General features: G+C 41.2%; 1 long non-coding RNA gene and 1 pseudogene across 4 annotated transcripts in view, besides 1 other annotated feature; one reads left to right on the top strand and one right to left on the bottom strand.

Moving 5' to 3' along the window:
- Positions 1-2,612: 2,612 nt before the first annotated feature.
- On the bottom strand, positions 2,613-3,074 carry ARL2BPP3 (ARF like GTPase 2 binding protein pseudogene 3; annotated as a pseudogene).
- Positions 7,607-8,806: an enhancer, noted in NCBI's record as "MED14-independent group 3 enhancer chr13:37363192-37364391 (GRCh37/hg19 assembly coordinates)". NCBI's record gives its function as "activates an origin of replication core promoter dependent on BRD2, BRD4, P300/CBP and CDK7 cofactors, and independent of MED14, by STARR-seq in HCT116 cells {active_cell/tissue: HCT116}" and the evidence as "EXISTENCE:reporter gene assay evidence [ECO:0000049][PMID:35650434]".
- LOC102723490 (uncharacterized) overlaps positions 8,639-25,456 on the top strand; it is a 113,878-nt gene continuing 97,060 nt past the window's right edge. For all 4 annotated transcript variants that reach the window (XR_001749825.2, XR_007063757.1, XR_001749824.2 and 1 more), the window contains exon 1: positions 8,639-8,880. This is a non-coding gene — a long non-coding RNA (uncharacterized LOC102723490). The remainder of the gene's footprint in view (positions 8,881-25,456) is intronic.

Genomic DNA, 25,456 nt, shown 5'->3' with positions numbered 1-25,456 from the left:
TATTAGGAGGTGGGTCCTTTGGGGGTGATTAGACTATGAGGGCAGAGCCCTCATGAATGTGATTAGTGCCCTTATAAAAGAGACTCCAGGGAGATTCTTCACCCTTTCTGCCATGAGAGGACACAGCAAAAAGGCAACTATCTGTGAATCCGGAATAGGGCCCTCACCAGACACAGAATCTACTGGCACCTTGATCTTGGACTTCCCACTCTCTAGAATGGTGAGAAATAAATATTTGTTGTTTTTATGAGTCACCCAGTCTGTGGTATTCTGTTAGTAGCCTGTAAAGACTAATCTGTCCAGCTTATTTAAAAAATATTATGTTTATTGATTAAGTCATGATAATTCCCTATACTATGATGAGATTGAGCTTCTTTCCTTAAAATGTAAGAAGGACCTCATTTGCGCTGTAGCTCTACCTTTGCAGTGGAGAGATAGGACTGTGCCCTCCTTAGCATTAGTTATAGGAGGAAACCTGATATCTGCTACCTCCTGATGTGAGGAAATATGAAGTATAAGCATTACATATGATTCTTGCCAAAAATGTTTGATGTGAATCTAATGAAGTCTATAGAGCTCATTTCGTATTTATAGGGATGAGAGGGAGGAATAAGTTAAATGGCACCATGAAGAGTCAGTCAGAAAAATTCAGAATGCGGAAATTCGAAAGGACAACTGGCTTAGTAAAAAAAGGTCAATTTTATAAAAATTATATTAAAAAATAGGGCCAAGAAATTTTCTAGCTTAAAATAGAGTCATGATGCACAAATGCAATTGATTTTTGCTATTGTCAAAAGGTATTTTGGGGATAGTTGGAGACATTTGAAAATGAACTGAGTATTAGATGACATTAAATAATGATTCTGAATTTTTTTTTACTCATGGTACAAAAGCATTTAATAAGTGATGCATCAGTATAGAAAAACACATCACTTGTAGCTTGTCCTTTAAAAGTAAGATAGCCAAGTGAAAAGTCAGTACAGATTCTTATTTCTAATTTTAAAAAATCAAAGGTACACATTGAGACTTGAACTGCTGTGATTTTTCTTCTTTCCAGAGATGACATACATGCTTTCTGATAAGTAATATTCTACCACACATTACACTAAACCAAAGCAGACAGATGACTGGTAAGGGTGTTTACTATTTCCTACTCATGCTGAGCTAGACTGGCAGTGGAACACCATCTCCACAGGAGAGATTTTGACAGTAAGAAATGGCAGAGTCCCTACCTAACCCTGAGAACCCAGCAAACTTGTTTATACAGAAAGGATTTTCAGCAAACATGCAAACACACAAACATGCTGTAAGAACGGATACCTTTTAGTGTATTTCAGGCACACAGCATGCATTTATAGGTGCCCAGTAAAATAAGAATGAATGCCAACGTAGAAAGCATTTTTGCCTTCGCAACATTCACTAAAAAGCACATGGTATATAATACTTTGATCTTTAAGTGGGTAATCATGGAAGTTCCAAAATCATATCCAGTGGAAATGATACTTTTAATGGCGGTCTTGCAAGATCGGGTGTCTGATAGGCAGGCACACCCAGGGCAGTCATAGCAGGTAATTTATCTCCTAGCATGCAAGTCCCTCCCCAAGTTCCTCATTGGTCGAGTACTATGGGGTTACAATCTTTCTGGATATTGCCTAAGTTGCATTATCCCCTTATAAGGTCATACCCACCCCCTTCCCTGCTTAAGTTTTGATTTCCCTTACTGCAAGGCTACTCAGACAACTAGGTTAGCCTGAGAATTCATCTATACAAATATTTTCCAAAAATAACACTTCAAAGAGACTTCTGAAAATAGTGGGACTACATCAGGGCCAGCAGAAGACATAGTCACACAAGGATTTCAAATGTTAAGACCAGGAATTTTCACACATAGCTTTTAGATAAGGGACATCTCTTTCAGTTGATTCCTCCAGCCAGGACAAGCTGTGATCACAGGAGATTCAAAAATCTCAAGATGGACAGCTGGCTGGAGTAACACCCCAGATAAATATAAAAAACCTCACTGGGGCTGAAGAACTGAAACTCTAACCCATGTCAAAAATGAGATGCAAGTGCACAAAAAATTTATGCAAACCCTGCTGGGATAAAGAGGGTTCATGATGGTGGGTTTTGATACGCAAACGTGAATGCTGGGGTGAGGAAAGGCCCCCCACAGAGTGGAATGCTTGACATGGGCTTGCTCACAAGCTGCCTGAGTCAGAAGCACCTGAGAGAGGTACCTACTTGGGGAGGGGAGGAGTATTAGGGTTAATGAATACAAGAAGGTGATTCGGCCGGGGGAGGGGTGGGTGTGTTGGCTCACACCTGTAATCCTAGCACTTTGGGAGGCTGAGGCAGGCGGATCACTTGAGGTCACGAGTTCAAAACCAGCCTGGCCAACATGGTGAAGCCCCGTCTCTACTAAAAATACAAAAAAATTAGCTGGGCGTGGTGGTGGGTGCCTGTAATTCTAGCTACTTGGGAGGCTGAGACAGGAGAATCATTTGAACCAGGCAGGTGGAAGCTGCAGTGAGCCGAGATTGGGCCACTGCAGTACAGCCTGGGCGACAGAGCGAGACCCTGTCTCAAAACAAAAACAAAAACAAAAACCCAACAAGATGTTTCAGGATAAATAGGTCCAGGAGGATTAGATCATTTTGGCTTTTACCCCATCAATATTTAATGCGAATGAAGAGTTGCAGAACAGAATCAGTTTTTCCAGGATACGTTCTCCTGTCATCATGAGCCGAGCCTATTGAACTACTGAGCCCGTGAAATTGAGAATGATACCATTCATTGTCTGGAGGTAGGTCCTACTGCTGCAGATTGTTCTGAGAAGCTGTCATAGAAGATGATTTGCACAATGAAGTCTCCACTAAACCACGGCTTAAGTCCAGTCTCTGGCCTTCTTTTTCTGCTCTGCAGTCCAGAAACATTTCTTTAAAAGCCAGAAAATCTGTAAATTTGAGCAGCATTTGGAGTATGTCACCAACCACTTCATCTTTGTGGTGCTGTAACGTTGTGAAAGTTGCCATGGTAAAGCCAAGAATTTGCTCCAGCAACTGTTCTTCTATATACTTTCCTGCCAAAGAAATATATTCATTAAAAATAGGTGTGTTCTTCTATATACTTTCTTCTATATACTGTTCTTCTATATACTTTCCTGCCAAAGAAATATATTCATTAAAAATAGGTGTGTAGGTGAGTTTATTCTCTTTGGTGTCCTCAAACTCCTGGTAGTAGTTGTTGATGAAATTTCTCTGTAATAACTGGAAATCTTCATCCATGATAATGTCCTCTAAATATCCAACCGCAGCATCAAAATGTGCATCAGAGTCAGAGGAGAAGGGCACAATGAAGCCTTCTTCTAAAGCACCCATGGTTGGTGCCACCGCACCCACCCAAGTGAGCTGACCCATTGGGTCCCTACGGTTTCTAGGGCACAGAGGTCAGCTGGGGGAAGCCTTGTCGCCCAGGCTGCAGCCCACTCCTAAATTTTTAAAGGTATAGCAATAACATTGTGGTTATGCAAGAGAATATCCTTATATTTAGGAGATTCATGATTAAGAACTCAGAGGTGAAATAGCATGGTCACTGTATTTTACTTTGAAATGTTTTAGTCAAATATACAAACATATAGGAAGCAATTACAGCAAAATACTTGCAATTGCTGAATGTAGGTGGCAGGCATATGGGTGTTCCTTGCTCTAATCCAAGAGTGTCCAATCTTTTGGCTTCCCTGGGCCACACTGGAAGAAGAACTGTCTCGGGCCACATGTAAAATACACTAACACTAACTATAGCAGATGAGTTAAAAAGAGAATCACAAAAAAACTCATAATACTTTAAGAAAGTTTATGAATTTGGGTTGGGCTTCATTCAAAGCTGTCCTGGTCCACATGTGACCCATGGGCTGTGAGTTGGACAAGCATGTCCTAGTCTTTCAACTTTTCTGTATATTTAAAAATAAATATATTAATATACAAAATATAAATTAAAAATTATAATTTGAATAAGGAAGACCTTTTCAAATATGCTTGAAGGCTATATCTCATCAATTTGCAGTATTTCCAATTATATATATATTTTTATTGATCATGTCAAAGATCCATAAAGGTCCATAATGTGAGCCAAACCTTTTAAAAATATTTGCTTGGTGAACCATCTTATTTGGACATGACATTCAAACACTTAAATGACATTTGAAAGATTATGAATAATCTGTCAGTGAAGGGATTATTTTTAAACATTCATTGATGATTATCTTGTTCTCTGAGACTTGGTAATTAGGTTGTTGATGAATAATAAAATGACTTGTTAAAACACCCGGTACCTCTTTTTAAAGTTGGCTCTAAACTTACATTATTGGTGCTCCATCTGTTAAATAAGCAATGATGTTGGAAAAGGAAATTTTTTTCTCTTTAATTAATTTTAGGGTTTCAAATATTGACAAATTTTTTGTATTCATTGTTAGCAATTTTGAAAATAATCTTTTCTACATAATTTTTCTGTCCTTGAACACTTTATAGATGCAAATATTAAAGTCTTATGATTATTCAGGTTACTTTTGCCCACTCATAATCAAAGTTATTTGCACTATGCAATTGATTTCAATATCTTTTACCGTCTTCTTAAAGCAGTATTAAATGGGATAGAGAAATTATTTGGTTTGGATTTATTTTTATCCTCTTTGTACTAATCTCTTATATAGCTTATAAAACTAATTTTCTTAGAATACCGTATGATGTACCATATTGCATGATCTTTTATGTTGTTCTGTAAGAACCAATGAGACTCACCTCCTTTTGCAGAGAACATTCTTGAACATTCCAGTGACAGTATAGCAATTTTCAGTTTTCCTTAAATATCAGAAGTATATATATATATATATATACATATCTTTGCCAATGTGATCAACATGTTCCTTTGTAAAATGTTCGCTTACTCTAGATGAGTTCGTTGGCTTAATTAGAAAAAAATGTGTTGGCAGAATAGACATATTGGTGACTGTTCATTTGTGCATAAAAGCTGTAAAACCCAATTTAATATATTTGACTGAATATTTGCCCACATTTAAAATTTATATTTGACATTTTGACCATAAGAGCTAAATGAGGAAATTTGTACATCTACTTACAGTCACCATGAATGCCTCATCGACAAATGCAGATGGATACAGGAGTGTTGTGTTGGTGACTCAAATACCACCCTCAGTGGTGCCCATAGTGATGTGATTTCTGAAATGGGAAACAACTCTTGATAAAGTTCTGAACATAAACCAAGTACATTCTTTCCTCAGTTTATGGTAGTTATATTCCTGTGAAATTCAATATGTAACACCATGCAAAAATACTTTTGATTTTATATAAAACAGAGTATGAATCTTTTTTTTTTTTTTGAGGCAGAGTTTTCGTTCTTTTTGCCCAGGCTGGAGTGCGGTGGTGTGATCTCGGCTCACTGCAACCTCTGCCTCCTGGGTTTAAGAAATTCTCCTGCCTCAGCCTCCTGAGTAACTGGGATTACAGGCATGCGCCACCACGCCTGGCTAATTTTTTTTGTATTTTTAGTAGAGATGGGGTCTCATCATGTTGGCCAGGCTGGTCTTGAACTCCTGACCTCAGGTGATCTGCCCACCTCAGCCTCCCAAAGTGCTGGGATTACAGGTGTGAGCCACTGCACCTGGCCCAGAGCTTGAGTCTTAACTCAGATAATTATAAACAAGTTTTTCACCTACAGAAAGGCCTGTGGAACTTCCAAAGTTGAACATGATGCATATAGTTCTTTTTTGTAGTGAACTGTATGGATATTGCAAGGTGTCTAGCTTCCTGGCTTGTCCATTGAATATCTGTTGTGTTCTCCCAACCCCTAAACTCATTACAACTAAAAATGCCCCTTACATTTTTAAAATGTCTCCTTGGAGCTATATCACCTCTTTTGAGAACCACTGGCTTAGAGTTGAAAAAGAGTCAATAAATATATAAGAAAAATAAAACATTGTAAGTGCTCTGTATTCACTGGTAATTCTAATGTAGAAAGGCTCCTAGGAGAAGGGATATGTAAGCTGAGTCTTGTAAAATCCGTGTGGACTAGGATAAAAGGACATGGTAGGCAGAATGAATATGTCATAAAGTTTATAAATACTCAAGACTTGCAAATAGTTTGGTACAACTGAAATCTAGGATGCAGAGGTGGAGTTTATCAGGAAACAATTCAGGGAGGTACATAGAATCCAGGTCACAGAAAGACTGTCTTCCATGCTAAGGTGCAAAGGTGCATGGGCTGTGTGTGTGTTCATGTGTGTGTTTGTGTGTGTGTGTGTGTGTGCATATGTAGTTTATGGCAAGGGACTGACATAATCAGGTGTGCTTCTCAGAAATGAATGGATTACCAGGGTGCAGGAAGGAAGGCAAGAAAATCAGTTGCTTTTACTATAGACTTTCCAGTAATAATTTTAAGAATCTACCATTTAATAGTTTCCTGGATCTTAGCCCTCTTGAATGTCATTTTAGTGTACTCTTGTTTTTATTCTCCTTTTAAAAAAGAAACTCTGAAACTTTTGGAATCACTGTTTCTGTTCTAGTAATAACTACACACTTTCCCTGCATCTAACACCCTCCCTTATACAAGTTAGACCTTATTGCATTTTCCTTTCCCTTTTATTTATTTATTTTTATTTTTTTGAGACGGAGTCTTGCTCTGTCACCCAGGCTGGAGTGCAATGGTGCAATCTCAGCTCACTGCAACCTCCACCTCCCGGGAGGCGGAGCAATTCTCTGCCTCAGCCTCCCGAGTAGCTGGGATTACAGGCACCTGCCACCATGTCCGGCTAATTTTGTATTTTAATAGAGATGGGGTTTCACCGTGTTGCCCAGGCTGGTCTCGAACCCCTGAGCTCAGGCAATCCACCCGCCTCGGCCTCTCAAAGTGCTAGGATTACAGGTGTGAGCCACTGTGCCCGGCCGCCTTCCTTTCCCTTTTATACATGTTGGCTTTTGAGATCTCATTTTAGTTTAATTTCTCTTTAATATGTTCTCTAATATTTCAACCTTACTCCTAAGGAAATTTTCCTCTAGCTTAATCTGTCTCTTTATTTTCAATTTTCCTCTGCTTATGTTCGGATATTAAGACCAACATGTTTTTCATACAACTCCAGTTTTTCTGTGACATTTTAAGCAATCATGTTCCTCAGAGACCGTATTTGAAAAATTATCTGTCTTTTTATTGGGACAGTGATAGTTTCTTTCAGTTATTTCTCTAGCGTTATCTAAGAAGACAGCATTTTTTCAATGAGGGTGCCCATTTATTCTTATTGTTTTATTAATAAAATGTACTTCCCTTTTAGGTTGAATGCATAATTTTAGTCTGAAATCCAAAGCCTTGGTTTGAATTCATGAAATTAACAAATTCAGGGCCAACTTGAGTTTACATGATTGGTGGTGACTCAACAGTTTATCAGTCACATGAATTGAAGATGAATTCCTCTAAAGTTTCCTCCTTGGCTCTAAATGTGGAATAGAATTTGGGTCTACTCAAAGTGAGATCGTGTACTACCTATTTGAACCTAACACTAATAAGTTAAAGCTAGAATCTCACAGGCTATTGCTCTGTGACCCATGTGGAACCTAACTTCTTTATAGACCTGGATGAAAATCCTGGTAAAAGCCAAACAGTAATGCTGAAACTCTGCCTCTTTCAAGGCAAAACCTCAGTGGGACTCTAAAGACTCTTTCCGGATTTATTTATTCCCTCTATCAGTCCTGGCCGCAATCACAGGCCTATTTGTACTTGTGTTATTCAAGGCCATCTGCAGCTGCCCACAGACTAAGTTATTTTTCAATTTAAACCCAAGTTTGCTTGCTAAAGCCTTTGTGGCTAGTTTTGCTAATGCCACCGAAATCACTGAAGTGATCAGTGCCTGCAGCCCAGGCAATATAGAAAGAGCCTCTTGGTTGTGTATTCAACCACTAGGTCAGAATCTTTCAGAAGCTTGAGACTTAAACTCACTTGTCCAGGCTGAAGCAGCTAAAAGCCGTCTTCATAAAAATCAGGCATAAGGTGCAATATTGGCTGCAGAAAACTCAATGTTTAAGATTCCTGCACGGCTCAAGCTTGGTATAGTTTCCCCAAAGGTTATATCACACCAATCAATTCCTCTAGCCTCCAGAAGCCTTAATCTCTATGTGTTCTAGTTTTGGTTCCTAAATTCACTCAGGTATGTGGCAACAATGGAATTCCTGACACTAAACCCCAGAACTAGATAGGTTTTCCCATCAGGTATAAGCCCAGCATTCCCCTGGCCCTCTTTCCTACCAGAAGCAGAGCTTTTTCACTAAGCCTACACCAAGGCTAAGAGAGGCTCACAGTGCTAAGCAGGCAGGCCGACCCCCAAAAATAAGAGGACGGGAAAAGGATGGGCTAGAGCTCCCAAGTCTGCCACTTGGATTCTTCACTCCTCTTCCTCCATGAATGAGAAGCAAGGGTCATGGTTGAATAAGTCCTCCAAAGGTACGTGCTGGAAACTTCATCCCCACTGCAGCAGTGTCGAGGGGGTGGGGCCTTTAAAAAGTGATTAGGTCATGGGGGCTCCACCCTGTTGGGTGGATTAATGCCATTGTCACAGCAGTAGGTTAGTCATAAAGCCACATTCACTCTCTTGCTTTCTCTGTCGCATGCACTCTCTTGCCCTTCCACCTAGTTTCCATGTTATGATGCAGCAAGAAGGCCCTTGCCAGATGTGGCTCCTGGATTGTGGACTTTTCAGCCCCCAGAACTGTGAGCCAAACAAACTTCTTTTGTTCATAACTTCCCCAGTCTGTGATATCCTGTTACAGCAGCAGAAAATGGACTAAGACACCCAGGGATGTACCTGGAACCTGGAAAAAGGTATGAAGTGAAGAAAAGTAGACCTGATATGTGTACTCAATTTAGGGGATTCTAAAAGTGTTCCTAGCTTTTTCATATTATAATCTTCTGAGAGAAAATCTTTAATACAGAAGGGAGGGTTTATGCCTTATTTATTTATTTATTTATTTATGTTGAGATGGAGTTTCACTCTTTTCACCCCAGCTGCAGTGCAGTGGCACGATCTCGGCTCACTGCAACCTCTGCCTCCTGGGTTCAAGCGATTCTCCTGCCTCGGCCTCCCGAGTAGCTGGGATTACAGGAGTGTGCCACCACGCCTGGCTAAGTTTTGTATTTTTAGTAGAGACGGGGTTTTGCCATGTTGGCCAGGCTGGTCTCAAACTCCTGACCTCAGGTGATCCACCCACCTTGGCCTCCCAAAGTGCTGGGATTACAGGCATATGCCACTGGCCAATGCCTAATTTATTAGCATTGGTGAATCATCGGAGTTTTAAAGCAGAAAAGTAATATAATTGGAATTTAACTTGGCAGTGGTGCGTAGTCAGAGGGCAAGGAGAGACTGTTAGGAAGCTGGTGGAAGGTTTAAGCAAGAGGAAAAGGGAGATTTCACTCAAAGCAAGGAAAGATGAAAAGTAGGGCACTGATTCAAAAACTTTTTCATGTACAGAAGATCTGAATGTGGGCAACGGAGGACAGGCAAGAGGGAGTGGTTCTGATACTTGAGGTTTCCAAGCTCCAGGTACAAGGGAAATGGTGGAGCCATTAGCAAATTATGAAGACAGGGAAATGGTTTTGATTGAGGATATGGGCATGATGAGTTTTTGTTTGTTTATTTTGTAGTTCTGAGTTTTTTTAGGACACTTTACCAAAAAAGGATACGTACACAGCGTAACAGTAAAATAAATACAGATGGAAAAAGTCAGGATCAAGGAAAAAAAGATCACAGAAGACAAGAGTCCACACTGCTGATGTGAATCAGATGCAAATTTGGTTGTGAGCCAAATGATGGGTTACATAGTTCTCATTAATGGATCGCACATAGCACATCAATTATTTGGAGAAGGGGGAACACAGTTTTCCATTATCAAATTGTTTCTTATTTGTTGTTTACTGTTATTACGTTATTATTGCTTATGATGATGATGATGATGAATAATCTAATCATAATAAGATTGGTAACTCAGTTACCAAAATCTGTTGGTTCTATGTTGCTTTATTCTCTCTAGACAGACTGCACGTGTTTTTCTGCAGTCCATAGTTAATAAGTTGGGCCACATCCTGTTCTACCTGGATTACTGCAACAGTCTCCAGTTAGTCCCCCTCCTGTTTCCTCTTCACATTGCTGCCAGAGCCATCTTTCTAAAATGGAAATCAAATCTATTACTTTCCTGCTCCAAACCTTTCATTTATGCCCCATTTTCATTTGGAAAAATGTCCACATTTCTTAGCATGACTTAAAGGCTCTTTGTGATAGGTTTCTGCTGCCCTCCCCAGCCTCAGTCCCCCTGGAGTGAGCATTCACTATTTTGGAGTTGCCTAGCAGCCGTTCTTCTCCTATGGGTAACAGCATTTCAGTTTCCTTCCTGTGGCTCCTATGGACTGTGAGCTGTCTCTGTGGGGCCATCAGGGACAGTCTTGCCTTCCTCTGGCCAGCAACAGGCCTGAGCTTGTTCAATCTGGCTCTCTCTTCAGGGACTTTGGGTCTCAGAAGGAATAACACACAGGCAGAAACATGGTTAGGGCTCATTATCTCGGAGGCAGTGCCTGACAAGCTTATTACATCTCCTGTGTCACTGTGTCTGTCTCGTTCTGAATCTAACCTTCCTGCCCTTTAACTGCATCCGTGAACTTCTGACATTTTTCCCATAAACTGATTTCTATTTTTCTCAGCCAGAGTGGGCTTCTGCTGTTGTCACCAGAATATCCCCCATTCTCCTGGCCAACTCCGACTGTTCTTTCAGGCCTTAGCTTACATATAATTTTTATGCTGCCTTGTGCAGGAGGCAGATTTCTGCCTTGACTTCTATTACTTTCTTCCCTGACTTCCCAGGCTTCCTGTGGTTAAACAGAGGAGCGTACCCATGTTACTTACACGTAATTATTCATTTTCTTTACCCTGTGTTCCCTTATGTTCAATGGTTTTGTTTTTACATTGAGTTTTGTGATTATATTTACAGGAGTTATTTATATGTAAGCTTCTATACTTAATTTATTTTGGCTTTCCTACTTTTTAGTTCTTTATTTTGAATTCCTTCAGTCAGCCACGTATCCATGAGTAGTTTCCTTTCTCAGTCTTTGCCTTCACACGTGAACACCACTTTGGCTGGGAATGAAATTCTTGATTATGCTTCCCCTCTGAAAGTCTTTACATATTTTTCATTATCTTTAGGAACTCAGTGTTGTAAAGAAGTCTGAGGAAGCAGGCCAAGTGTGGTGGCTCCTGCCTATAATTGGAGCACATTGGGAGGCTGAGGCAGGAGGATTGCTTGAGCTCAGGAGTTCGAGGCCAGCCTGGGCAACATAGCAAGACCCTGTCTCTACAAAAAAAAAAAATGAAAAAAATTAGCCGGGTGTGATGATGCACGCGTGTAGTCCAAGTTACTCAGGAAGCTGAGGTGGGAGGATTGCTTGAACACAGGAAGTCAAGGCTGGAGTGAGCTGTGATTGCACCACTGCACTCCAGCCTGGGTGACAGGGCAAGACCCTGTCTCTAAAAAAAAAAAGAGATTTTACCCCTTTTTAAGAAAGTTGTTTTTCCTCCTCCCTATTTGGATATTTTCAGAAATGTATAAATATTCTTGAAATTTTAACTTTTGACAAGGTATGTCTAGTATGAATATTATTTAGATTAATTTAGAATTTGCTTGGAATATAATAAAACATTTTTCCAAATTCACTGTTTTTTTGGCATGTTAAAATGTCTACTATTATAGCTCCAGTACCAGTCAGGATATGATCAGAGACGTAAAACCAGTAGGAATATCATTTATTTTAGGGAATTAAATATGGAAGCCAGTCTTCAAGACAGCTCACCCAATGATCCCTACCTCCGTGTATCTACACCCTGTGTGAACCCCTACCACAATGTAGCGCTCTTGGTCTGTGTGACCAATAGAAGTAATCAAAGGGATAATATACTCACTCCAGGAGGAGCCAGCCACAATGCTGTGGGGACACTCAAGCAAGAGAGATGAGTAACTGTAGACCTCTGCCAATTGCCTGCACTAAATTTTAGTAACATTAACTCCAGCCGCTATTAAACTTTTAGATCAGGAATCAGCAAACTATGACCCTCTCTTGGCCAGTCAGTCTACTGTTTTTGTAAAGAAAGCTTGTTGGAGCATGGACAAGACCATTTCTTTACATATTGCCTGTGGCTGCTCTCAAACTATAAAGGGAGTTGAATGATTGCAACAGAGACTGTATGGCCCACAAAGCCTGAAATATTTGCTATCTGACCTTTATATAGAAAGTTTGCAGACCCCCTGTTAGCATCTTTTTTTTTTTTTTTTCTTGAGATGGAGTCTTGCTCTGTCGCCCAGGCTGGAGTGCATTGGTGCGATCTTGGCTCACTGCAACCTCTGCCTCCTGGGTTGAAGAGATTCTCCTGCTTCAGCCTCCTGAGTAGCTGGGATTACAGGCACGTGCCATCATGCCTGGCTAATTTTTGTATTTTTAGTAGAGATGGGGTTTTGCCATGTTGGTCAGGCTGGTCTCAAACTCCTGACCTCAGGTGATCCACCTGCCTCGGCCTCCCAAAGTGCTGGGATTACAGGCTTGAGCCACCGCTCCTGGCCCCTGCTAGCATTTTGATTGCAACCTCATGAAAGGCCATGAGTTAGAATCATTTAGTTAATCCACTGTCAAATTGCTGACCTACAGAAACTGTGTGAAATAATAAATGTTTATGTTGTTTTGAAGTAATTTGTTGTGCAACCATAGATAGCAAATACGTTGACCTTATATAATTTTGGGAGCTGGTTAGGCAGTCTATGTGAGTCTGTATTGTTTCTGTATCTGGTGCTGGAGCCTGAAATCTACAGGGCAGGTAATTGGAAAGGGAAGATGGATGCGAATTGAAACCTGTAGCCCACAGGGAAGGAGTTGAGCATGCACTGGTCTCTCACCTCTTCCAAACCTGCAACCTTGGTGATGAGGGTGTCCCAAAGGAGGTATCAGTGCCCTTTGCCAGGGAGCTAACCATACACCTGGCTCAGAGGTTGCAGAAGCTGAAGAAGGATCCAGTAGGAGCTGGATGCTGGTGGCCCAGCTGCTGCCCCCACCAACTAGGTGAGACAATGTGCCTGAGCTGCCACAGCACCTTGTTCCCTGACACAACCTTTTGAGCATAAAAAGATGGCTGCAAATTCACTTCTGCCTTGGAAATCTGTAGCAAACTGTCTCTTCTTGCCCATGCTAACATGAAATTAGGAAGGGAAGGGAATCTAGTTCTAGCTTATCTATCCACCACTTTAAGGATTTCATATCCTTAAAGGGTGAAGCACTTTTATTTAATTAGCATCATTGTTAAGTGATTTATCCTTCTGCCATCCTCACCAAAAATTATAAATTGCTACCAATAGGTCTGACCCAGTCTGCAGTTCTTCAAGGGCTTCAAAGAGCGTAAGACACAGTCCATCTCCTCAGTGGCTCTAACATGACCATGTGAGGGCCTTATGTGTTAAGAGAATGAAATGTTTTCAATATGGCTAGGCTGCTTCTATGCTTACAGAACGAAGAAAAAAACAATAGAGGCAGCTGTGTGCCAAGATTCTTGGTCCAAATCCTGCAGAACCCCAGGTATCTAAGCAAAGATCATGGGATCTTGGGATCTGAGTTGCACGAGGTAATGGAATGTTACAGCAATGACTTTTAAATAGTTCATGCCTTCCTTTATCCACACACTGGGATAGTCTCCTCCTTCATGGACTCTGACCTTGGGCACATAACAGCTATGCCCAGTGGGACAAGAGCAAACGTAACACAATTAGATTTGAAAAGTGCTTGTGAATTAGCTTTTTATACTGTTATGAAAATATTCCCAGACTATAATGTTAAGCAACAGTAAATGAACAAGGTGAAGATAAGTATGCACAGTACACTGCCAACTATGAAACAATGATAGCAAATACTATATTAATTCATATATGCATACACATGTTGGAAAAGATGCACAAGTAAATTTAAAAATTCAAATATTGCTCATATCATCCCTTCTGGCACCTCATATTCTCTTTTTAAAAGTATACCTTTTGGAAGTTTTTAGTAAGAGTAAGCTGAAAACTTTCTGGGTTATCTGAGGATGTCTTTGTTTTGTTCCCATTCTTAAAAGATGATCTAGCTGGTTATATGTTTTAGATTAGCAATTATTTTCTTTCAGAACTTTGAGGATATTATTCTATTGTGTTTTGGATTCTTAAAATTACTGTTGAGAAGTCAGTTGTCAAACTATCTGTTGTTTTTTTTTGTAAGTAACTTGTTTTTTTTCTCTCTGAACATTTAAGTATTCAGAGTCTTCTTTGGTGTTCTGCAGTTCTCCTATGAAATGTCTGCATAGATATTTCTTCAATTTGTCTCAGCTAAGAATTATTGTGCTTTCTGAACCTAAGGATTTCTATTTTTCATCAACTTTGAAAGTCTTAGTCATTACTCATTCAAATAAATACCTATCTCACATAATGTCTGTTCAGTTAATAACTTTTTACCTTAATAACTCTTCAAAAAGCATACCTCTTTCAATTATTCTTTCTTTTCCCTGAATAATGTCTCCTTTGCCCAATGTCATACTATTGCGATTTTCTTTTCCTTCCTCCCTCCCTCTCTCCCTTCTCTCCTTCTTTTCTTCCCTCCTTTCTTCCTTTTTCCTCCTTCCCTCCCTCCCTTTCTTTGTTAATTTGCTCCTTTGTAGTAGGCAGGTCTTTATTTTAATAATGTATTCTTCGCCTTTTTAGCCATTTACTTATTGTAACCGGAACAGAATTAACACAGGATTCTGCATCAGTACAGGACTTGATTACTTCTGTTCTGCCTGAAAGACCACTTTAGGTTTTTTAAAACAACCAAATTACTTATAAAAACAATTACATTATTTCTTCTCTATCTCTTTTTGCCTATATACAATAAAGGGTCTTGATATCTGAGTTTAAATTCATTCCAGAATTTAACTACCTGTGGAGTGAAAATTATCTCTTACTTTCCCTTCTTTCTCTCAGGTTTTAACTAATCAAATGCGGAAATTCTCCATGGTCATATTTAAGCTTATGGGAAATAAAGAAGGGATTATTTAACAAATGTCTTAGAATGAGACACACTGTCTTCAGAGACCCCATCCACTCCTTTCTTAGAGTACCTTGAGTGCCACAGCTTTGATAAATCCTACTCTTCCCATTTAGAGAGGGTCTCTGGAGGTAGTATGGTTAGTGGTTAAGGACATGGGGGCTCTCAAGCCAGAGTTCCCAGCTATAAATCCCGGCTTCACTTTCTAAGTGGGAAACAGGCAAAATCATCTTACTGTGCCTCTGTAAAGTGGAGATCATCTCGATACATAGAGTTGTTGTGAGGATTACATAAATTCATAAAGGTATAATGGTTATGACTATACCTACTACAAAACAAATATTCAGTGTATGTCAGCAATGATTTCTCTTATTCAAATAAATGCAAATTGTAGGTACATTGCTTCAAAAGTGATACCTGTTTATGTATTATCTATGCAAGTCATTTTTACTTCATGCCTCACAATTTCATGTTAATGACTTCTCATATAGAAGATGATATAGTTTGGATGTTTTGTCCTTTCCAAATCTTACGTTGAAATGTGACCTCTAATTTTGAGGTGGGCCTAGTGGGAGGTGTTTGGGTCATGGGGACGGATCCCTCATGAATGGCTTGGTGTGCTCTCCCTAAGGTAGTTAGTTCATATGAAGTCTAGTTGTTTAAAAGAACCTGGTATCTCCTCTCTCTCTCTTGCTTCCTCTCTCTTTTGCTCCCTCTCTTGCCATGTGACACACTGGCTCCCCCTTTTGCCTTCTGCCATGAGTGGAAGATTCCTGAGGCCCTCACCAGAAACAGATGCCAGTCCCCTGAAATATTTTCAGGAGAGGAATCAAAGCAGGCTGTGGAGCAACTAGTTGCTAGAGAGATTTAATGACTAAATGGGAGCCAAGTGCTAATAGTCAAGACAATGGAAAAAAGGCCTTGCAGGCCTTTCAGAGGTCTTTGAGGAAGCCCCTCCCATCACAGGCCCAGAGGCCTAGGTTTAAAGAATGGTTTCAGTGGCCAGACCCAGGGTCCTGCTGTCTTGCACAGCCTTGGGACACTGCTCCCTTCACCTCAGCAGCTCCAGCTCCAGCCCCAGCCCTGGGTCAAAAGGACCCAGGTGTAGTTTGGGCTACCACTCTGGAGGGCACAAGCCATAAACCTTGGCAGCTTCTACATCCTGTTGAGCCTGCAGACATTCAGAGTGCAAGAGTGAAGGCGGCTTGGCTGCCTCCACCTAGATTTCAGAGGATCCATGAGAAAGCCTGGATGCCCAGATAGAAGCCTGTTGCAGGAGTGGAGCCCTCACAGAGCACCTCTACTAGGGCAGTGTGGAGGGGAAATTTGGGGTTGGAGGCCCCACACAGACTTCCCACTGGGATACTGCCTAGTAGAGCTGTGGGAAGGGGGCCACCACCCTCTACAACCAAGAATGGTAGAGCCACTGGCAGCTTGCACCCTGAACTTGGAAAAGATGCAGGCACTCAATTCCAACCTGTGAGAGTAGCCACGGGGGGCTGCACCCTGTAAAGCCAAAGGGGTAGAGCTACCTGAGGCCTTGGGAGCCCAAACCCCATACCAGTGTGCCCAGAATGCAGGACATGGAGTCAAATGAGTCTTTTCTTTATAAATTACCCAGTCTTAGGTATTTCTTTATGGCAATGGAAAAGGACAAACACAGAAGGTGTTTTTAAATATATTTACATTTTGTGACCATTTTTGTGTTTGTGTTTTTGCACCTGTGACTCACAAGTATGGGTGAGGAGTGCCATAAGAATCCACATAAAATGGCTTTTTTGGACTGGAATCAGCATTCCTTTGCAATTTTGTTCACATTATAAAATAATAATGGAGTTGATTCTTAGTTACAAGTGTGAAAAACTTGCTGCAATTGAGAAATTATTCATGTATAAATACTTTTTAGAGTTGGAAAGGACTTTATACAATGCTTAAAGGGGTTTTAGGATAGTCATAAATGAAGAAAGGGCAACTCTCACTCATACATATATATATATTGTCATTGTCTTCTTTGTTCTTTGAGTTCTAAAGTTCTTTAAAGCTAAAGATATATAAGATATTCCTATCTCTATATAAGGTTTTTCTACCTATTCAATGATTCAATAAGTACAATTGTTTATTAGATTCTTGCCTGATTTAAATGCTTTATGGGAAATAAAGAAGGAATAAAGAATAAGCATTTGTGACTTGCAATTTTAGCTTACAAAATACTAATGAACAGACTGTTGACCTAGTTTACCTGAGAAAACATTCTGGGACAGTTTGCATGGAGTTGTGATTTTATGTCTTTCTACATCTGCATACATAGTTACAATCATGGGGAAAGTATCTGCTGTACCACGTAGCAGAGAGTGCATTGTCTTCCAAGAATACCCAAACTGTTCTACTCAAACCTTTCTTGCTCACCATATTCGATAATATCTTCAATATAGTATGAGGTTTTATAATTTCTAAAGCACTTCAATACACCTCATTTAGTTCTGATAAAATCCTTTTGAATAACAATAATTATTATTTTTATTTCCAACTTTTATTTTAGATTCAGGGACACATGTGCAGTATGTGTAGCTTTGTTACATAGGCAAATGTGTGCCATGGTGGTTTGCTGCACAGATCATCCCATCACCCAGGTATTGAGCCCAGCATCCATTAGCTATTCTTTCTGATCCTCTCCCTCCTCCCAACCCCCACCCTCTGACAGGCCCCAGTGTGTGTTGTTCCCCTCAATGTGTCCATGTATTTTCATTATTCGGCTCCCACTTACAAGTGAGAACATGCATTGTTTTATTATGATTCTTAGCTTCTTTGCATTGGGCTACAACATCATCCTTTGGCTCAGTGAAGTTCGCTTTTCTCCACATTCTGAAGCCTACTTCTGTCATTTCAGCTATCTCAGCCTCTGCCCAGCTCTGAACCCTTGCTGGAGAGGTGTTGCGGTCATTTGAAGGAAAGGTGGCACCCTGGCTTTTTGAGTTTTCAGCGTTTTTGCACTGATTCTTTCTCACCTTTGTGGGCTTATCTACCTTTAATCTTTGAGGTTGCTGACCTTTGGATGGGTTTTTTGTGTGTGTGGTTTTTATTGTTGTTGCTTTTGGTTTGTTTTTCTTTTAACTGTCTGGCCACTCTTGCATAGGGCTGCTGCAGTTTGCTGAGGGTGCGCTTCAGACCCCTAGTCACCTTGGTTTTTCTCATACCCGGAGGTATCACCAGTGAAGGCTGTGAAACAGCAAAGATGACAGCTTGCCCCTTCCTCTGAAAGCTCTATCCCGGGATGGTAATGACCTGTTGCCTGCCTGAATGTGTCAGTAGGATGGGGCTGGAGACCCTGGTTGGTAGGTCTCGCCTTGTCAGGAGGAATGGGATCAGGGACCCACTTAGGGAAGCAATCTGGCTGCTTTTTGGTAGAGCAAGTGTGCTGTGTTGGGGATCTCTTCAGTCCCCAGTTTGGCATCTCCAAGACCTACAGGCTGGACCGGCCGAGATGCCCAAACGGTGAAGATGGTGGCCTGCTCCCCCACAACCCCACACTGGCACTCCGTGCCAGGGAGAAATTAGAACTCTGTCGGCCGTAGAACATGGGAGGGCGTGGTCGGTGGCCTCAGCTGGGAGGATCCACCCAGCCAGGAGGAATGGATCTGGGTCCTGTTTAAAGGAGCAATCTGGCCATGCTGTGCTGGGGACAAAACAGCCGAGCTGTGCTGGGGAACCACCTCTGCCCCACTCGGCTTGGACTCTCCAAAGCCTGCAGGCTGGAGTGGCTGATTTGCCCAAACTGCAAAGATGGCGGTCTGCACCTCTCTATGGGCACTATGTCAGAGGGAGAAATCAAAACTCTGTCCATAGAATAGGGGCAGGGGTAGCCGGAGGTCCCGGCTGGGAAGACCTGCCCCATCAGGAGGAGTGGATTGGGGTCCTGTTTAAAGAAGCAGTCTGGCCACTTCTGGCAAAGCAACTGTGCTGTGCAGGGAGTGGGGTGGGGGGTGGGAGGTAGAGGGAAGGGGGCGGAGGGAGGATGGGGGGTGGGGTTGGGGATGAGGGATGTTGGGGAGGGGTGGGGGGTTCTTCCTTGTCCGGACCGTTTGAATTCTCTAAAGTCTGCAGGCTGGAATGTCTGAGTCAACCAAATGATAGAGTTGGTGGCTTGCCCCTCCCCCTTGGGGGCTCCGTCCTGTTTCAGGGTGGCTCCACCCTGTTGCTGGTGGCTGGCTGGAATTCCAAGCCAGTGGGTATTTTCTTGTGAGGTGCTGTGGAAGTGGGATTTGCAAACTGATGCTGCTCAGTCCCCTGGATTCAGCCCCCTTGCTAGGGGTATGTACGGACCTCCTGCCTTGCCTGAGTTGCAGTTCCCTTTGTCAGAGATCCCAGCTGGAGTCTGTAAGCTCCTGGGTTACAGCTGGAATCTGTAAGCTCCTGGGTCTGTGTGCATGCCTGAGCAGCTGCTCCGCCTACCCTCCACATAGCTCTGTGTGTCAGACCCAAAGCTGTGGTGGCATGGGCTCACAAGGGGATCTCCTGATCTAAGGGTTGAAAATACCCGTGGGAGAAGCATGGTTTCCCAGGGTCACACATTCACTCACCGCTTCCCTTGGCTGGAGGTGGGGGTTGCTTGGCTCCATGCTGTTCCTGGATGGGCCGTCAGCCCACCCTGCTTTTCTTCCTTCTCCATGGGTTCAAGTTGTTTCCCTGATCAGTTCCAGTGCTAGTACCTGATTATTTTGGTTGAAGGTGCTGTATTCACTCACCCCTTTTATTCCTCTGTGAGTGTTGTGGACCGCAGCTGCTTCTAATTGGCCACCTTGGCCTATCTCTGAATAGAAATTATTATCTCCTTTGGATAGATGAGGAAACTGAGGTAAAGAGGTTATGTACCTTATCCAAAACCACAGAATTAGTAAATAGAATGGCTAGAGATCACCCTCAGCCTTCTTACTCTGACTCCAGGGCTCTGTTTACCTACTGCCTTTCAGCTGTCCTTCCCTCTTTACATTAAGGACAGTTTTATATAGTCCCTGCAGCATCAAACTAATACCCAATTAATATGGAGGTGTGTGTTCAGGAAGAAAGACAGTGGTGGAGACTGCTGAGGATTCTGGAAGAAATAGGCTTAATGAGAAAGAGCACAGGGAACCTTGAGAGTGGTGAGAACTCTTTATTGATCTTTGTCATACTGAAATAAATTTTGGAATGAAGGAACAAAGCATGTGCCGCCTCTATTGATGATATCTCCCATGTCTTCTCAGCTATCCACTGACCACCGCCTCTCTTTCTCTACTCTCGCCAATTACTGTTAATTGTCTTCTGGGCATCCAGATGGGATACCTGATATACCTTCCATAGGTTTCAAAGAAGCCAATGTGGTAGACAAAATCAGTTTTATAAAAACATGCCACAATAGTGATTGAAGAGGGAAAAAGTAACCCTAAGGGCACAGAAAGAATGTGCAAAGGCTTAGGACTGTTAGTCTCTATTCATACCATTCCTGGATTAACCATCCTGAGGATAAACTATCACTAACTCTCTCTTCTACTTCTCACCATTTTATATGAGGAAGCAATGAAATTCAGCCAGGAAACTAGGAGGTACAGCCCCTCCCTCCATACCCCATCCAGGTCCAATACCACATGGGATACCAGGTCCATTCTGACACCCACACAACCTGTGCCTGCATTGGTATATTTGCAGCCAATAAGTTCCATCCCTGCTTCTTGTCAAGCTCCTCCATGTCCCATCTCCATCATCCATTGTCTCTTCTAGACATACCCTCTACTCTTCAGCTCAGCGTTTTATCTCTGACTCTCCCACTTGAATGACCCACACACCTTTGACCAGGTCTTTTGGAATCATGTTCTATTTTAAGGAGCGCCTGTGTTTCTTCAGTATCTCCATAGAACATTCTTTTCACCCTTCCTATATAATATCATTTCTCTTTCAGCTAATATCATTTCTCTTTCAGCTCTCTTCTGTGGGGAGGGCTTATTCGCCCACACCCACAACATTTCAGGCCTGCTGGTAGTGGTGGAGGGTGAGGTTGCTTAGGATTAACTAGGTTCTTCATTGCAATGTGACCACACTATTCTCCATCGCTGTTTCCTTGCTGTGTTTTTGGGGCTGGGGGCGGGTGCGGGTGGGCAGTTACTTACACAATCCACCGCAGACATCTGCACCTCATTGATCCACTCCTTCTCACACAAACAACCATCCTGGGATACTTTAACAACTCATCTAGTTTTATGTTCTTTGATCTCAGCTCTATTGATCTTTACTTTCTTTCCATTTCAGTATTTTAATCCTTAGGCATACCCCTCTTTCCACTGGATTGCATCATCATCTGAATTTTCTACTTCAAATTTCATAAGCTCCAACACTCCACACACTCTATCAAGCTGCCCTCAGTAAGGTTCCCATCAGCCTCTAAATTTCAAAGGATACCTTTCAGTCATTTGCTTACTGGTTACCTCTGCTGAATGTGAATTTCTTTTCCTTTATACCACAGAAGTGGCTTTTCTTCTTTCTCTTGGGCCTTCCCCTACCATTTCTGTTGTGGCCTGATATGGTTTGGCTCTGTGTTCTCACCCAAATCTCATCTCAGATTGTAATCCTCATCATCTCCACGTGTTGAGGGAGGGACCTGGTGGGAGGTGATTGGATCATGGAGGCAGATTCCCCCATGCTGTTCTCATGGTAGTGAGTGAGTTCTCACGAGATCTGATGGTTTTATAAGTGTTTGACAGTTCCTCCTTCATATGCTCTCTCTCTCGCCTGCCACCATGTAAAATTTGCCTGCTTCCCCTTCTGCCATGATTGTAAGTTTCCTGAGGCCTCTGCAGCCATGTAGAAATGTGAGCCAATTAAACTTCTTTCCTTCATAAATAATCCAGTCTCGGGTATTCTTTATAGCAATGTGAAAACAGACTAATACATGGCCTTCCCTTGGTATTCCTCAGAATTCCACCCGACACCTTCCTCTCTTCTCACACCACACCATCTCTGGCTGCTCCCATGGTTCTAATATACACGTGGACACTGATGAGAAAGAGACCATGGTGACTCACGAGTATCTTTAACTCAAATAGAGCTTTCCTGTGGACATCAGACTCACTCGCTCTACTGCCAGGTCGCCATCTCTCCAGGGATGTTTCACAGCCCCTCAAGCTAAGTATATCCTGAACTACATTTATCATGTTCCCCCACAAGCTCACTTCTCCCCTACATCCCTTGTCTCATTTGTTGGCAAATGCTCAGACCATAGGACTTAAGACCTAGAAATCACTGTTTCTCTTTCTTTCTCCTTCTTCCCACTCTTATAAACAAGAAATCATAAAAGCCATAATGTTTTACTTATATATTTCTCTATTATTTCTTCGTCTCTTCTTTTCCTTCTTATCGATTCTCTACACCGATCTCTTTACTGCCCTGTGCCCCCAACTCCAACCTAAGTGTTTCCTGTGCTTTTCCTCTTTTACATAGCAGGCTGTTCAGTTTTACTTTGTTGCTGTCTTCTGTGCAACAACTGCATGTTTTGGTCGGCTCCAGCTGACCAAACAGATAGAAGACGGCCGCTGAACAAAACTGAACAGCAGGCTAAGTCAAAGAGGAAAAGCCGAGCTCTTGCTCTTAATTACTTCAGCATTCACTATCCCCAGAGACCAGGATCTACCCTGAAGCCTTGGATTTGTTTCATCATAGCTTGTTCATTCCTACTAAGTTCAGGAATCTTACCTAGGAAGGGGCCTAGTTTCCTTTAATCTGGGTTTCTATGATGAAACTTTATGTAGTTTTTTTTAGATCATAGGTTTGATATTAGCCCAGATGCTTGTAGATATTTGTTTACATTATAATACTTATATATTATACAGGAAATAATAAATACTATGTACAATAAGAAAAAAATAAATGCAGTAATAAATATTTAATATGACCAAAGAAATTTGGTCCTTTCTTTAAACACAAAATTAAATAGAAACCCAACCATGTCAAAAAACCAAGAAACAGATGACTATTTTGGGTGAAGTACAAATACTATTGCCTCATCTTCATGGACCCCCAACGGGGTTCTCAGAGGGCAGTTTGATAGCTGACCTGGTGAAAAGAGTGCTAAGGCAGAAGGCAAGACTTTTAGTCTTATCTCTGCAGCTTAACTCCGCGTTATCCCACTGCCTGACCTATGAAGTGTACATAACACTGCTTTCCCCATCTGCATCATAGGGTATTGCAGGAATTTAAAATCATATTTGTACAAGCACTTTACAAAAAAAATCTAGGTAAATATAAGGCTAAAAGTAATGACTTATTAATTAGAAACATAGATAGGAAGATTTGTTTTCTGTATGCCACCTTTGGAGAAATGGGAAAACAAGCAAATAAATTAGTTTTTATACAATTGGTGATTAAAGGAACTTCAAGAGTTAAGAATACATGACCCAGGTAGAATTGTATGCCAAAACTTTATCTGGGTATATGATTTGGCAGGAATAGGATTCGTGTTTTATCAGATCACTTAAAGACTTTATGGCCATGAAAAGGTCGCTCCCTTTCTCCTTCTTCCCATACCTTAGAGCCTTTGAGTTTGAAGGCATCCTCTGCTTCTAGTCTGTACTCCCATAACTGCCTGTAAAATACTCACACGGATACTATCACCCTATTCTTCCTGTAAACCATGCAAACTTGTCACAGAGTAGCTTTAATATGCCATACTCATTAACGTAGGAAAACGACTAAAACAGTGTAGAAATGTGTAAAACAACAAGTATTTAAACAGATGCTTTTCTGCTAAATCTTCATTTAGCCAGAAAGTATAAAAACCAAAACAATTCATCACCCAAGTGGTTTCTTTTAACCATTTTATTAATTTGACCCATGATGTTTCCTGCCCCTCACTCTCACGAGGAATCCTTCATTCCCAGGTGATACAGCTAAACGTTTTGGGACTTGGCCTGACCCTCACCTGAGTCTACAAATGTGTGAAATAGAAGCTTGAGAACTGATCTCAGCATCCTATTGATTTCGTAAATGAATATGCACAGCTGGGTTGTTGATTGTCTTTCCTTTCAAAGGGTAAAATTATATCTGCTTTTTAATGCCAGGCAATCAATGGGATATGCTTAAACTTAAGTTCTTCAGGGTGAAATCTCAACAGATAATGCAATGCTATTGGGCTTCTTCTCATCTTTGTGCAGGAGAAAGTGGGCCATCATTTTGTGAAAGAAATGTAATGGGGAATAAGGCTATATTTCCACTTCGGTGTTTGCCTAGAGCTTGCTATGCCATTATACATAAAATTTTATGAAAAGGGCTAAAACGTGAACTTTCTGGGCCTCTTGAGTGGCCATTCTATTTCTCAGCATGCTTTGTACTCTATCCTCTCTCTGTCCAGCATTATAATATTAAAGTCTGAGGTCTAGAAATAGCTTGATTAAGCAGTGTGCTCATTTGGAACCTTCAGATCTTTGATAAAAATTTCCTCTGTGGTAAGGAGAATGAAGCTTCTTTATTCTGATTGCTGTATTTTTCCTCCTACATTAGATCTTACTGAGGAAAGGACACACAATCTGTATGACATATCTCATAGATCTCTGAAGCAATTTTTGCCAAATTACATTCCCCCCTACTCATTCCAGGCCCACAGCTGCACAGCTACATGTGATTTGTTGAGATTCTCAACAAGGAGTAGGTTCCAGGAATGAAACAATGGAACAGTCTGTTTTGAAATGTAAAATTTAAACCTTTGCTGGAGAAGACCCAAGGGAGACAGAGAGAGAGACAAGAGAATTTCTAGGAATTAATCCTAATGAACATCATTTCAGTACATTTCCTTGGAATCTGGAACTAACATTTCCACATGTGCATGAGAGGAGGTGTGATTACTTATAAATTTATATTAGATGTGACAATTAGCTTAAACTTCTCTTGTGTTACTAAGAGAAGAGGAGGGAGTGTGATGCTGTGAAAGGGAACAGTGGACCAAAGTGATAGGTTCAAGTCAGGTCCTTCTAGCAATTCAAGCGTGAGCAATCCCTTAAAATTGTGATTGATTCATTGATTCATTCAGTTATACATATCCAGTTTGCATCAGCACTGTGCTATAAGCCTGATTTCTCATCTCTAATAAGGGACAGTAATCTGACAAACAAATGACATAATAAATGTGACAACTCTATTGAATACCATTTATTTTGAGTCATACAGTGAAAATGAAATTGAGTCAAAATACTTTCAATAAAAATGGACTATTGTAATGTAGTGTCATCAAATGATGTCATTTTATTTATAAGAAAATATTAATAGAATACATTTTTTAAAACGTTGCTTTCTGAGATGATAA

The sequence above is a fragment of the Homo sapiens genome, chromosome 13 (assembly GCF_000001405.40).
Source record: "Homo sapiens chromosome 13, GRCh38.p14 Primary Assembly".
NCBI classification, from domain to species: domain Eukaryota; kingdom Metazoa; phylum Chordata; class Mammalia; order Primates; family Hominidae; genus Homo; species Homo sapiens.
The sequence above is the reverse complement of the archived record's forward strand: the minus strand, read 5'-3'. Positions and strand labels throughout refer to the sequence as shown.